Source organism: Homo sapiens, chromosome 1 (assembly GCF_000001405.40).
Source record: "Homo sapiens chromosome 1, GRCh38.p14 Primary Assembly".
Taxonomy (NCBI): domain Eukaryota; kingdom Metazoa; phylum Chordata; class Mammalia; order Primates; family Hominidae; genus Homo; species Homo sapiens.
In genome coordinates, this window is record NC_000001.11 from 99,585,330 (window position 1) to 99,601,691 (window position 16,362).

The 16,362-nt window shown below is 38.6% G+C and overlaps 2 annotated features.

Moving 5' to 3' along the window:
• Positions 9,804–10,098: a silencer, noted in NCBI's record as "tiled region #14613; HepG2 Repressive non-DNase unmatched - State 23:Low". NCBI's record gives its function as "represses a minimal TATA promoter and a strong SV40 promoter by Sharpr-MPRA in HepG2 cells {active_cell/tissue: HepG2}" and the evidence as "EXISTENCE:reporter gene assay evidence [ECO:0000049][PMID:27701403]".
• Positions 15,464–15,758: a silencer, noted in NCBI's record as "tiled region #10093; HepG2 Repressive DNase matched - State 5:Enh". NCBI's record gives its function as "represses a minimal TATA promoter and a strong SV40 promoter by Sharpr-MPRA in HepG2 cells {active_cell/tissue: HepG2}" and the evidence as "EXISTENCE:reporter gene assay evidence [ECO:0000049][PMID:27701403]".

Genomic DNA, 16,362 nt, shown 5'->3' on the forward strand with positions numbered 1-16,362 from the left:
GGCTGGCTGGATGGTTCTATTATCAACATCATTAAGCTGGAAACCAAAGTTCCCAGAATCCTCTTCCCTATTCTAGGTTCTAGGTCTGAGTTGGCCAAAAGAGAAACTTGCATGATTTAGTAAGTGGAAGTAAAGCAGTAGGTATTTGTACTGAGATGTAGTGAGGGAGAGATGTAGAGTTGACCAGCAGGTTCAAACTTGTCTTTGTTCTCCTCCACTACACATCCAGCTCCTCTTCTTGACGGCTGACCCTGGTGACAAATGATAACCTCATGTCCACCACCAGATGCCTAGCTGTGGACCCACAGAGGTGGTAGCTCTACAGACGCAACTTTGTATAAACATTTACATGAGCTTCTATTCTTATTCCCACTTCAATGGCTGGACATGCTTAGCTTCTCAGATTTTCCCTACGAACTTTGACTTCTCCATCTGTGAAAGTGCTTTAAAAGGAACAGTTAGTGACTCTTTTCTCATCCTCTAACTTCGGCTTTTTGGCATTCACTCGTTCAGCTACTCCCACAATTTTTTAAAGGTCTGATTCTTATAATAAATCCCAGATTCCATAACATTCAATAGTAGTTTCAGCTTTCTGGCTGGACCCTAACACAGTTCCATATGGGAAATGCATGGGAACATCTGGATCAGTGATAGCGAATCCTTTTCCTGCCTGTTAAAATGATGTGAACACTGGGCCACAAAAAGGGCTTTTCACTCAATTGTGTGCATCTATCTCATACAAGGGCCCAAGCCAAGTATTAGAGTATCTGCTGTTTGTCTTAGCCTTGAAGATAAGCCATAGGAGGAAAAGAATTTATGAATATAGGTTGCAAATAATGGTGTATTAAAACTGTTTCTCATGTTTCTTGCCCTCCTGAGGCTAAGTACTTACATTAACATGAGAGAACAGAGAAATAATGGAGAGGTTGGGGAGACTTACAGGCATGATTTCTCTTTTTATTTTTAAGGATAAATTAATCCCATGGATATTTATTAGGGTCTCTTTTGCCACCTCTGGCTAAACTCTGTCAATGTCAAGCAAGGGAGATGAATAAGATATGAATTCTGCTAAAAACCTATAATCTATTGGGAGGCTGAGGTGGGTGGATCACGAGGTCAGGAGTTCAAGACCAGCCTGACCAACATGGTGAAATCCTGTCTCTACCAAAAACACAAAAATTAGCTGGGCATGGTGGCATGTGCCTGTAATCCCAGCTACTCAGGAGGCTGAGGCAGGAGAATCACTTGAACCTGGGAGGTGAAGGTTGCAGTAAGCCAAGATCGCACCACTGCACTCCAGCCTGGGGGACAGAGCAGAACTCAAAAAAAAGAAGAAAAGAAACTTAACAATCTAGTAAACAAGATGTCTAAAATGTAGATAACTCTGATGAAAATTAGATTTCTTTTAAAAGTGAGAGCAAGTTTATTAAGAAAGTAAGAGAATAAAAGAATGGCTACTCCATAGGCAGAGCAGCAGCTTGAGCTGCTGGCCTAAGGATACTTATAGTTATTTCTTGATTATATGCTGAACAAGGGGTGTATTGTTCATAAGTTTTCTGGGAAAGGGGTAGGCAATTCCTGGAGCTGAGTCCTCTCCTTTTTAGATCATAAAGGTGCCATGGCATCTATAAACTGTCATTGCACTGCTGGGAGTGTCTTTTAACACGCTAATGCATTACAATTAGCATATAATGAGCTGTGAGGATGACCAGAGGTCACTTTTGCCGCCACCTTGGTCTTAGTGGGTTTTGGCCGGCTTCTTTACTGCTAGCTGTTTTATCAGCAAGGTCTTTATGACCTTGTGTCAACCTCCTATCTCATCCTGTGACTTAGATCGCCTAATCTCCTAGGAATGCATCCCAGTAGGTCTCAGCCTTATTTTACCCAGCCCCTATTCAAGATGGAATCACTCTTGTTCAGATGCCTCTGATGTATTTCACCCCTCCCTTTCATAAGAGAACCCTTAACCCTAAGGGTTGTAAAGGAACAGAGATCCATCTTCTGTAACTTCCTCAGGCTGAATAGGGGTAATGATATTCCTGCCTAACTACTAAGGTATCTTGTATTCGGGGTAGAGAGGAGTTCAGTCAGAAAGCTTCAGTATGATGAGGGCCATTCATAACTTCAGTATGATGAGGGCCAGCTGACAAAAGGTGATATCTGGAAGATTAATAAATGTTTAAGAAAACATTCAGTAAGCTGTTTATCCTGCATTCCTACACGAAGAGTACAATAGTGATACATTCCACAACAATAAAGCAAAATAAGCAAAATTATCCCAAGTAAACTAAATAAGAAAGTTTTCCATGAACTGGGTAAATGTTGGAACCAAGCTGCTACAGGGTTGCTAGCTGATTCCAATATGTGCCAAGAATTAGAATATTGATCCAGATTTTTACATCACCCATCTCTCTTGTTTCTTCTGAGCAGCAGTCAGATATCACTCATAGGCTCACAGGAATAAGCAGAGTTAGTCTAAATTGCAGAAAATAACTTAAAAAAAACTGATGAGACTAGAATCTAAAAACAGGTGTACCATAGTTTGAAACATAATTTTTCTCTCTTCAGTTTCCCATTTTTACTAAAGACAAATCATGGTAAGACCGATTTGCTTTATTATACTTGGCCTGATTATTTGTATGAAGTGCAGCAAGAATAATTTTTCACAGAGGCTTTTTAAATTGGCTTCCATGGTACTTTGTTTCATAAAAGGAATCTTAGATAAGACTTTTTTAAAGCCTAGCCCAGCCATGGGTTTGTACTCTCAAATACCTATGAGTTGGATGAATTCCTCTTCTCTTGAGGTCCCAAGATAACTTGGGGCTCCTGGGCCTGTCAGAAAGTGACATTCTTTACTTACCACAGGTCAGGAACCCTGTACATGGGTTGTGTAGACAAGACAAAACATGAGGCCAGTTTTCCCAAAGGGCTCTTATTGGCTCTATAAGTCAAGTTTGATTCCTTAAAGGAATACACACCATTCCAGTCAAAGCCTTGGTAAAATAACCAGTTGTGTCCTATTGCAAAAGAAACAGATTCTTGTTGCACTTATGCAAATAACTATACTGCCATAAGTTAAGAATACTTACAGTTTCCAAATTCTGGAGAAATCAGGTAGAAAGAAACAAATATGCTCCAAATTTTGTTCATAAGAGTATACTTTACTCAATTGCTACAAGCTGTAAATTGCTCAAAATAAAAGTTTCTTGACTCCAAAGTTGGCCAACTGGTGTGCACACAAATGATTTTCCGTTGGGTCGGGGTTCTCTTCAGTATAATCTCTTTGTGGTTCACCAGAAAGATGTTACCGTAAAGGGGTTCCAATCTAGACCCAAGAGAGGGTTCTTAGATCTCATGCAAGAAAGAATTCCAGAAGAGTCCATAGAGTAAAGTGAAAGCAAGTTTATTAAGAAAGTAAATGAATAAAAGAATGGCTACTCCATAGGCAGGGTGGAGAAGATATTTTTTAATGTGATGTGAGAAGTTCAAACATGGTAAATTAAGAGTTTACAACCAAATGAATTGCTTCTGGTATGTTACTGAGTTCATGCTCACTGGGTTCAGAGGGAGTTTCTTTGGTATTTGAGCAGGGCCAGAAAAAATTAGTAATATTTTATTCATTCAACAAATATTTTATTTATCTTACTGTTTTATTTCATCTCTTTTATACCAACACATAATTAGATATTATGTAGATGTATAAATATTATCATATAGCCACACCTGGAGCTATGACTTGGAATTCAGAACCTTTATTTTGAAAGTGTTAGGAAACCATATACGCAAAAGGCAAGATGATATTCCACCTTTCTGGGACTTGAGGCCCTATAAAGCTAGGAAAATCTAGAATCATGAGGAGAGGAAGTATATCTTGGCAATGGACAAGTCTACAACAACACTGCTACCCATCAGCAGTGAGTTCCAAAGGTCACAAAAGCCACACCTTAGTTCACACAACCCACCAAACCCGAAGTGGAGCAACACACTCCTAGACCTTGAGAGAATGATTTGCCTAAGAAAACAAGGACAACAGTGGGAGTCTGTTAGAAAGAGCTTCCTCTATACGACCAAGGGAAAAAGAACAGAACAGCTTCTGTTTCCAGTGCAGCGACCCTTTGTGAGAGAACATGCTCACCTTTGTTTTCCTACCTTTCCAATCTGGCTCTTCTTCATCAAGCTGAACCTCTTTGATCCCTGCCAGCAGGCACAGCTTGAGCTGCCACCTTCCAGACATCCCCTAGCACTCTGCATCATTGTCCTGTCCTATGGTAAAGCAGCAGGTGTCTACCACACACTCGGACCTCAGCCCAAGACCAGAGGAGCTTATGTCTCAGTTATTCCATAGGAGTAGAACTGTAAATCTTCATTGCAAAATAAAATTTCCAAGTCAGAACCAATCTTAAATCTTGGATTTCCTGAAAGAATGAGTAGAGCACTCAGGAAGGGGTTAGATTACAGAGTCCCTAATGCAGACACAATCAGTTTTCTGGCCTAGCCAGAGTTGTCAGGAGAAGTGAAGAGCCTTTCACACAACAAACTCAGCCTCCATGTCTTTTCCCCAATACTGTAGCTAGACAAAATTATCCTATTAACAATGGGCTGGGCAGAGGTGGAATTTATTAAATGAAACTATTCATTAAAGTGGTATTATATTTTAAAGGCAGTGCTATCAAAGGGATTAGAACAGAGAAGGTCAAGGACAAATCAAAAGTGCTCAATCCCACTACTGTTTGTGGGCTTCTAATGCCCTCTAGAACATTGTTCCAAGTCACATATGCTCTAAAGCAACATCAAAGTCAGACAACATCATCTTGACCTTCTTCATTGAATGCATTCGAAATCCAGCACTCTAACCATATAAACTCTAAAAGAATATGCTAAATGAAAAATCAGTTTAAGTTTTTGTAAACTGTAAGAATCAAGGACCCTGGGATGAGACATAGACAGAGTACGAAGACAGACATTCGTAGATTAGAGCAGTAGTTCTCAGCTGGGGGTAATTTTGTCCCCCCCAGGGCATATTTGGCAAAACTGGAGACATTTTGGGTCATCACAACTTGGAGGAAAGGAAGATGCTACTGGGATATCGTGGGTTGAGGCCAGGGATGCTGGAGAACATCCTGCAATGCAAAAGATAATCCCCTTCCCCCTAACAAATAATTATCTGGCCCCAAATGTCAATAGTTCTGAGACTGAGAGAAATCCTATACTAGAGCCATCAAAAGTTAACAGGTCTTTTCAGCAATTGTGAATGTTAAAGTTTAACAATTCCAATCTAAGTTCACATTTTAAGCCCCCCTCATCTTCCCTAAGGCCTTGTTCCAATCACAGTACTGACAGATAAAATAGAGAAAGAGGACGTCAAAACTCAAAGCTGTGCTTATAAGCAAAATAAGCATCCCTGTGAACTGAACCAGGCAGCAATGTGAAATGGAGAGCCTTCCGGACTCTGTATACAAGGATAGGCAGTGGCAGCCAGGAGTTTGGGTCCTACACAACAATGGAAAAAGTGGAGAATTAAACAAGTATCACTGTATGAAACCAGGTTGTAAAATAAGTTGAGAAAAGCTGCCACGTACAGCTCTTTGAGACAATAGCTTGCAGGAAGTGGAATGCTCGGAGGAGGTAAAAGAAACATACACAGACTCATGACCAGGATCTGAGCCTAGTCATTCAGAGCCTTAATTTGTCATATCCTTAATAACACCATGGGATAGAAACCTCAGCCATCTATATGAGATGTGTTCTGGGCTTTGGGCCAAGCAGCCAGTGACAGCAACTACAACTAGACAGCAGAGAATGTGAGAGAATAAATCCACACATCATATTCCAAAACACATGAAGAAAACTAGCACTAAGGAAGTTACTTAAAAAAAATCAACAGAGCATAAATTCACTCAGGATCAGTGGTTCTCAACTAAGAATGACTTTTTTCAACCACAGAGAACAACTAGCAATGACTGGAGACATGTTTGGCCATCTCAAATGAAGGGGTAGAGGTGTTATTGTCATGTAGTAGTAGGCAGAATCCATGGATGCTGCTAAACACGTTAAGTGCACAGGACAACCCACTACAACAAAGAATGGCCTGGCCTAAAATGCCAATAGTGCTGAAATTGAGAAACCCTGTTGTAGATGTAAAAAACATAATGGAAATGTCTAAAGTCTGCAAAGAGGTAACTGAGGAAATAACATCCATTTTGTAAATGAAAAAATTTTAAAACAAAATCAGAGAAGTAAAACAAGTGAATGTAAAATGAATGCATTAATGTGTCAGACATTTAAAATATTGTCACTGGTATTTAAAAATTCAAGCATGATAAAGCCTAAACAACACAGAAAATTAATACATTAGAAAATTAGTATGTAGTACTGGAAAAAGTTACCAAAATTCAAAAAAATAAAATAAAAAGATTCTAGACAAATATAAAAATGAAAAGAACTGAAGGACAAATTAAGGGTCTCTAACTCCTAGTAGCAGTGTCAATGATAGAGTATTAGAGGGAATGGTTTTGATGCAGTATTCAGGGAGATCATGGCTACAGTCACTTAAAATATGGAAAAGGCTGTGAGCACTCATTAAAAGAGCAGTCTAAGTGCTCAGTCAGGATAAACTAAGATAAATCTGCATCCAAACACAAGAACAAATCAGAAGAATATCACTGTGTAAAGAGAAAGCTTTTTAAAGCTGCAAAAGAAAAAGATAAAATACCTAAAAAGTCATAACTGTCAACACTTTTCTTCACATCTTCATTGTCAGCAGATTTTTCATCGGTATGAATAGATGCCAGAAAATAATGGAGTAATATCTCCTAAAAGCTTAGGGCCAATAATGCTCAAGCTAAATTCTACACCCAGAAAAACTATCTTTCAAGAGTATGAGCAAAATAAAAATACCCTCAGAAATAATAAGAATACTCACTGACTGCATAAACAAGTTTCTATATGTGAGTGGAGAGAGAGACAAATGTCTGTGTATGTATGTAAGATATACACATCTGTACATATATATACATTCTTACAGGCATAATTGTATATAATCATGTATATTTGTATATACAATGCATGTGTATGTGTGTGTACGTATGTATGTGTGTGTAAAATTTTAATTTCTAAACCAGGAGAAGAACAAAAAGAGGAAGGATATAGAAAACTCTATCACTTCAACAGAGAAAGAGAAGAAAGGAGGAAAGGTAAGAAGGGAGGGAGGGAGAAAGAAAGGAAATAAAAAAGAAGAAAAAAGCAAAGAAAAAGAATAATAACCGAAACACACATATAAGATGGTAGAAACAAATCCAAACATACCAATAATCATAATTAATGTAAATACATTAAACCAGCCATTAAATAACAGATATCATCAAGAAAAAAATATATATATGTGCAGTTTTAAAAAACACATTAAAAGTATACAGAAAGTTTGAAGATAATGGGCTAAAAAAGATGTATCATAAGAATACTAACCCAAGAAAGCTCATGTTTCAAACAAGAAATATTTTAAAGGGAAATAACTACAAGAAAAACGGTGGGCACAAATAATAAAAAAGAGCATTCCACTAAGTTACAATAATAAACACATATACATCTAACAATTTGGCCTCAAATTTATAAAGCTAAAACTAATAGAATAATGAGAACTAAACAAAATAACAATGACAGTGGACAATTTTTAAATACCTCTATCAGAAACATATCAAGCAGAAAAAGAAACTGAGATTTAGAAAACTGAGGCTGGGCACAGTGGCTCATGCCTGTAATCCCAGCATTTTGAGAGGCTGAGGCAGACAGATTGCTTAAGTTTAGGAGTTTGAGGCCAGTCTGGGCAACATGGAAAAAACCTACCTCTACAAAAGATACAAAAGTTAGCTGGGCATGGTGGCATGCACCTGTAGCCCCAGCTACTTGGGGGGCTGAGGTGAGAGGATCTCTTGAGCCTGGGAGGTCAAGGCTACAGTGAGCCATGATTGCACCCCTGTACTCCAGCCTGGGCAACAGAGCAAGACCCTGTCTCAAAAAAAGAAAAAAGAAAATTCAGACAACATATTTTGACAAGATTAATCCAATAGAGATAAATAGAATCCTGCACCTCACAAATAGAGAACATTTTTATGCATATATGAAGCATTTGCAGAACAAATTCCATAAGATACTTTATTAACCTAAGAAAGTACATGCTAAAACTACTATATGCCTGGCCATTATCTAAAGAGAAGAGAGTTCTTAAGAAGAGGTGGTTAGAGGGAAAACAGAGGTGAAAGAAATATATTCTAGTTTATTTAGTTGGCAATTACTTGTGGGGCATCTAGTATGTTCCATTCTCCCAACTGGTCTTATAAAAAGTATCCCGCATATTCCCTATTTATTCTCCCAAATATCTTTTTACCTTTCCCAAACAAGAAGCAGAAATTAATTTTGAAAGGGTCTCTCATAAAAATGGATGTATAATTCTTTTATGAATAGTGTAGCTATTATTATTTTAAATTATAGCAAACTTTAAGGGACAAAGTGGTCAGCACCTCATTAAAGGGTCAAGTGATTTATTTTGCCTATTCTGCTAGTCAACATTTGTGGTCTTGGGTTTTGTTTCATTGCAGGAACTCAGATTTGGATGCAGATGCACTATTTTAAATCCTTTTTCCCACCTCCAAATCCACAAAACCTTGAACCTAATTTAAAAAGTCTATGAGGCTGAAAGTCAGGGGAAAGAGGACTTATGATGTTTCTGTCTTCTCTGAAAGGCAGCAGCAGTGTAAAGGAGAAATTTGTACAACAATCTGACTCCACTGTTGCTCAGTGTACAACATTCTTAACTTCTCTGAACATCAATTCCCTTCTCTCAATTTCCTTCACATAATGTATCCTATGCTATTCTCCCAGGATTGTTGTGAAGATTAAATAAATAATGTTCCAATGTTTAGCACAGGCCAAGTACAGAATAACTACTCAATCCCTGTTGAACCTAAATCTCCCATCCTGAAACAGTAAGCTGAGAAACCCCAAATCAGCTAAAGACTGTTCTTTCCCCTGTGGGCACCTTATCCTGTGATCCAGCCCCACCATTTCCTGAGTTGTTGACATCAACTTCCTGACAACTTCACTATTTCCATCCTGAAAAACTGACGGCTTAGATTCAGGGGGAAAAGTACATGTTAGGTATTAACGCCTACCAGATTTGGGTAGTCAGGGGATTTCATATATGTATTAGGAAAATCTGAAGACTAAAGTTAAAGCTCTGAAGTTCTGGGATTTAGGAGAGAAAAATATGTTTGTTTTCTTTGTGTTCCATCCTCATCAGCGTTTAATGTTAATGTTACTGGATAATGCAAAACAGTGGAAAAAATAACTTTAATCACTGAAAGATCTGAAGGGACACCTGACCATACGTTATTTATGAAATAAAGTAAAATTCTGAAATCCTGCTAGATGAAAAAAATACAAAATGTTATTGTAACTTTTAGAAATTTTAAATGGCAATAACTTAAATTCAATATGGTGGTTTATAACTGAGTGTTAAGTACTTTAATTTATAGTCTTCAGCATAATACTCCTGTAAGAAAAACGTTCAGCTACATTTGGAAAGGCAAAAATATACCACAAATATAAGGCAGAAGATGCTTTTGACTTTTTATGATATAACAGCTACGTCTATCTAGATATACACCAGGCCCTTTGATAGGTTTGTTTGGGATTTTTTTTTGTGGTTTTTTTGTTCTTTCTTGTCCTTTGAAAAATTCCAAGTATTTTCTTTCACTAACAAGAAAAGATTATTTTCCATGTTTAGCAAGAAAATATTTATCAGCACCTTCTCCCAACTTAGTGTCAAAGGAGGTGTCACTCTGAATCAGTTCCCACAATCCTGAAGCTAGCCTGCAGTGAGACATCAACTTTCACACCAAACTTACATATGACTTTTAGCAAGATGCCCTCTGCCCCAGCTTTCTTTCAATGTAGCAAGGAAAAAACACTACTACTTTCCTCCTGGGAACTGGGAGAAGTGTCAAAGGAAATCTTTTCAATGAAAGGAAAAAGAACATATCACACTTGTAATATTTTCTCTCTTGCTAAGCCATAGTTCCATGAAAATATTAATAGAAACCATGCCTTCCTGCCCCATGCCAAAAAGGTGAACCAGCAGATAGAGACTACATGCACGAGCTGCAACTGTGCCGGTGTTCTGAGGGTAAAAGAATATGGGTACTATTTCATGCAAATCTCATGCAGGTTAATATAGTCAAACCCAGAATTATGAGCCTTCAGGAAACAAATCCATCTGTTAGGAGGGCTCTAAATTATATATGGCATCCTAGCTGAAAGGGAGTCTGGACAACACAGTTCTGCAAGCTTTGCAAGGAGGCACAGTAGAGTTTGGAAGAGATGTTGAGCCAGCCCACATAAGATATCTGTTATTATAACCAACACTTATTAAATGCATATTGTGTTATGTGCTGCCCTCAATATTTCATATATATTAATATTATCACAGTTAAATCCTCATTACAATCCATAAAATGGATATTATTACTATTCTTCCCTTACACATGTGCCCACTGAGGCTCAGACAGTTAAGATCACAAAAGACCCCTTTAAACTAGCCATCTGACTCCAGAGCTCAAGCTTTTAACCACATTTTTGTCTAAGTATTTGTCTTGTTCACTGATACACTGTCAGTACCTTCTTTTTTTTTTTTTTTTTTTTTTTTTTTTTTTTTTTTTTTTTTTTTGAGACAGAGGCTTTATCTGTTGCCCAGGCTGGAGGGCAGTAGAGCGGTCACAGTTCACGGCAGTCTTGATCTCCCAGGATCAAGCAATCCTCCCACCTCAGCCTCCCGAGTAGCTGGGACTACAGATGTAGTCCACACCCAGCTAATTTTTGTATTTTTTGTAGAATCAAATTTTTGCATGGGTTTCACCAGGAAGCTGGCTTCATAAAAGGCTTCAGATTCAGGAGGGGAAGATGGCACAGCAATCTGTGTTGTGTGGACTAATGACCAGGGACCAGGTGGGCATGAGGACGCCTGGTCTCAAATGCTTGAACTCAAGTTCAAGCTCACCTTGGCCTCCCAAAGTGGTGGGATTACAGGCATGAGCCATCATGCCCGGCCATGTTCTTGATAAATAGAAAATGCTCAATATGTGTATTAGTCCATTTGCATGCTGTATATAAAGACATACCCAAGACTGGGTAATTTATAAAGGAAAAAGATTTAATTGACTCAGAGTTCCACATAGCTGGGGAGGCCTCACAATCATGGCAGAAGATGAAAGAAGAACAAAGGGATGTCTTACATGGCAGCTGGCAAAAAGAGAATGAGAGCCAAGCAAAAAGGATTTCCCCTTGTAAAACCATCAGATCTCGTGAGACTTATTCACTACCATGAGAACAGTATGGGAGAAACCATCCCAGTGATGCAATTATCTCCCACTGAGTCCCTCCCACAGCACATGGGAATTATGGGAGCTACAACTGAAGATGAGATTTGGGTGGGCACACAGCCAAACCATATCAGTACATAATTATTAAGTTGAATACCCACCTCTATGCAATTATGAAAGACTTTGGGTCTTTTAGTTTAGCTCTGTCCTATTTCTCCTTTTACTTGGCGCATAATAAGTGCTTGGTAAAAAATAACATTGGCTGACCCAATGGAACCTAGTGAACCTTAAAGAGTTGTCAGCATTTGACAACTGTAAAGCTCTGAGAATCAAAATCTTGGCCTTGAAGTTGCAACCTGAGACTCTTTGGAACTCAAGGCATCACAGAAGTTTTTGAAGAATTCAGCATAATTCCAGACATCCCTGTCCAGAACATCACCCTCTTCCTCCACCTGAAACCACAGATGAGATAAATCTTCATAGCCAGATTAGTTGGGAAGGAAGAGCTGGAGAGGAGGCAGTGGCAATGGCATGTCCTTCAGAAGAAGAACTGTTCTCTTCCCTCCCTGAGTTGAGTCCCCTGTGATGGTGGAATTCACAGAAACCCAGATTGGTTTGGTAGATTCAAGAGCAAAGAGTATCTTCACACTCTGGAGGAGGGATATCCTGCAGAGGTATCAAGAGCTAAAATGCTTCTGTCACCAACTTAGTAAAGTAATAGTGGAGAAGAGATAGTTCTGTGGAGTGCTTAAGCAAAAGGAACTGGCAGAATTCTCTGTGTCCCAAAGAAGTGTAAGAAGAGCTAAATGTTGCCTTTGTACCCAGAAGGTGCATCCAAGTAATGAAGGGAGCTGGCCACATAAAAGCATCAGATTCAGGATGGGAAGATGTCAGAGCAATCTGTGTTGTGTGGACCGATGGTCAGGAAGCAGACAGGCCTAAGGATTCCTGGCAGATGCCCGCATGTCCAGACCAGGAATTCACTCCACTGCACTTGACCTCTTGCCTCCAAAATATCCCCCAAATTTAGATTTCAAATCAAGAATTAGAAGGAGACCAAAAAAACCAAACACCGCATGTTCTCACTTATAGGTGGGAATTGAACAATGAGAACACATGGACACAGGAAGGGGAACATCACACTCTGGGGACTGTTGTGGGGTGGGGGGAGGGGGGAGGGATAGCATTAGGAGATATACCTAATGCTAAATGACGAGTTAATGGGTGCAGCGCACCAGCATGGCACATGTATACATATGTAACTAACCTGCACATTGTGCACATGTACCCTAAAACTTAAAGTATAATAATAATAAAATAAAATAAAATAAAAAAAGAATTAGAAGGAGTAAAATACTAACTGATAGAGATTAAGTTTTCCAACTCCTGGTGGAAATATCACTTAAAATTTTTATCATCAGACAGAAAATAAACAAAATTAATTTTTTTCACACATGAGTTCTGGGCCAAAATTTACGTCAACTGTAAGAAGTTGAACCAAGCAGTCTACTAATACGTAAATACTCAATGAAATAACTTTCAAAAGTGCCAATTTAAAAAGTAGAATTGTCCTACTTTTTAAGGACTGCACAAGAAAGTCTATCAAGAAGGAAAAAAAGAAGAGAAGAAAAAAATACTGATTATTTTAACATTTTAATATTAAATTAATTGATTAACACTATTATATTTAATATTGGCAAAAACCACAATTACACCTGCACCAACCTAATATAATGGAAATTATAAATATGTGGAAATTTTGACACCAATGAATGTGAATCATTTTTAGTTCTTCTGGAATAGAGAATGTCAACATTGCCTTAGAAGTAAATACAAAGTGTCACTGCAAGCCTTCCTTCTTTCATTTATTCCTTCAACAGATTTTATTGCATAACTAGTACATCAAGAACCAAATAAGCACATAGAATAACCTGGCATCCAAAAGCAATATAGGAATCAGAACTCAAGACTAAGGAAAAAACTTTAAAAAACCATAACAGGACCATGCATAATCTATTATTTATTACCATAATACCTTATTAACATGTATTGAGTACCTACTAAGTGCCAAGCACTGTGCTAAATATATTTGTGTATTATAGAAAGACATGCTAATCCTCAGATCACTTCAGCAAATGAAATTGTTTCAGCTTTGGACAACTCACACTCCCTTACATGACTTCATATTCTCCTGTTTCTCCCTTATCAACAGGATGAAGAACATGGCTTGTTAAACAGCTCCCTCTACTATATATCAAACCTGGTGCCAAATTGATACCAGGGGTTGATCCAAATTCCTTTAACCTGGGACAGTTCACTAGCATTGTAGCCAGATTCAAAAAGGCTGGACTCCATCTAGATCACAATTTGTTCAGGAACACCTGAATTATGCGTTTCCTTCCCAAGTACACACACCCCTACCCTCTCATCAACACTCACAGTCCTAGAAATGTGCAATATCCCACATAAACTGAAGAATATGGTTTTTCTGAGGCCCCTGGACCCTGTCCAGCTGGCAGAGGGACATCATGAGAGAGCTCCTGAACCCATATGAGTCTGTTCATCACTGATACCAGTACTGATACCTTGGTTTTACTTACAGTGAAAGTCAAATGAGATCATCTATGTGATAGGCTTTTTAAACATGCTATACAATACCATACAAATGTTCAACCTCATAAAGTACTTTCATACTAAGCTCCGCTGGGCCAGGCTGGTACCTGACTCAGGACTGAAGTGACCCCCAACTTTTATTGAGTTGAATTTGACCTTATCTACTAATCTGTGTCTCCTCACTAGACTCCAAATGATGGGAAATTAAGGAAGTAGTACACATCATTTATAATGGCTTATAACTGTGGGAAGCAATGTTTTTTTTGCACAAGGGCCAATCCGGGAAAAAAGAAAATTTATGTAGGCTGCAAAAAATTATTAAAGAAATGAAGACATTTTCTACAGGCCATACAACCATCAGTTCTGAGCAGCAGCTGGAATTTGCACATCTCACTTAAGGCAATATTTACTGATGGGTGCTCAGGAAAGAAAGATGAATGAGATGAGCCTTCCATCCTCCACAGTCAGCCTTCATGGCTCTAAAGTTTTCATTCTTCTTGGGTGAATCATGCTCCTAGGAATGATACCATCACTGCTAGTTTCCTGGAATGGCCAGCCTCCCAGGCCGGTTGGAGGCCAGGCAGCTGCACAAGTCTCTTGTGGTTCCCGATATCAGGGGGTCACACTGGGTCAAGGCCTGGCTCTGCCACACAGAGTCCTCCACTCTGAAGACTGCACCTCTGGTTGCCAAAATGACAACCTGCAATTCTTTAAAGTCACTTCCATGGTTACTCGAAAGACCTCCCTCCCCAATTCCTTTTCTTTGTATTAGTTGAAAAGCAGTGCTTACGCTGGTTTGAGGCGTAAAACTACAGGGCCTCTTGCTCAGGTTGCTGGTAGCTTCTAAGTGGACTAAAGTTTTTAAGTCCAAACACACAGGATCTTAATGTAAAACCCAGCACCAAGGTAAACTATTCTTGCTGTATTGATGCTGCTGTCATGTTAGAAGGAAACATGGCACAGACCACAGAAAAAGCTTGGCATCATCATTACTTACCTATATAATGGAGACAAAGTCCTTTGGTAACCTCTGTTATCACAATATTTGGATCTATATTGCCAAAATGAAGACCCTTAGCAATCTTCAGTGGCTTGGGGGAGTTCAATTTACCTAAGGAATAAAATTAGGTTAAAAAAATCTTAAAAAAAAAAAAAGAGTCTCAGACAGCCAAATCATTGGAGACCAACAGAGATGCATTAAGGATTGAGATCTGAAAAAGACTGCAGGAGTCTTTCTATCAAGAAAGAGTGACCATAGAGAAAAGACCATAGAAGAAAACAGTGACCATAGAGAAAAGATCAATCCAGCCCTACAGCTCCGAAGAAGACAAGTGGCGTATCCTGAGGGGAAAATGTAAAGGGGATTGAGAAACTTGTAATAAAAATGACTGAATTGGGAGATGTCAAGGAGAGGGGAAGACAGAGAAAAGAAACTGAGCTTTTTCTCCGCTGAGAAAGTGCACAATTTTTCGGAGAGCCCAAAACTCCATGAGAAAAAGGTTCTTCTTATTGTTTGCTCTTTCCTCTCACAGCAGCCTAGCTGGAAAGCAAAGTCAGCTGGAAAAACACAATGCAACCTTCTGTTCAAGGGAAAGTGGAGGAAAAAGAAGTCCAAGGTTGCCTCCTTCTTACCCACTCTTGAGGCACATTTTTATCCCATTGTTGGACTCTGCGTTTTCCCAGGGGTTGCCATGGCATCAAAGAGACAAATGCCTTGCTCCTGTTTTAAAGCTGAATTCCCTAGCAAACAAAATTGTTTCCATTTGAGGATATTCTCACCCTCACACGAAACCAGAACTGCTTTCAAAACAATGTGTCTTTTTAAAATATGGATGAAATGTATTGCATTCTTCTGGTAATAGAAGAAACATATTTTTATTTTTAAAATGCATAAAAACATTTGAAAAACGAAATGCAATTGCCCTATAGATCTTCACCTACAGGTGGTCATGGCTCACATTTTGGCATATTTATTTCAGGTCTTTCATCTATAAATGTATATGTATTTTGTATTATACACTGCAAAATTGCAGCCCAATTACATATGCAATTATGCATGCTCCTATTTCTTCACTTGATATCCCATAGACACACTCTTCGGAAGCAGGGCTATAAAATCCAGAGATGCTCTTTATAGAGCTTTAACATTTTGCTCATTTGCATCTTGCATATTCTTATGAAAAGAAGAATTTAATAAGACAGCAGTTTGGCCTTTATGTCCCCATGAATCTAAACGTTTGAGAGAAGTTAGCAGCAGGGAAGCATGGGTTAACTGTGTTAGAAAATGTTTGCAAAGAAAGGCCTTTGCTCTCCATTAATTTATGCTATGAAAGAGAGAACACAGATAGTTTCATATATTATCCTGGGACTATATAAA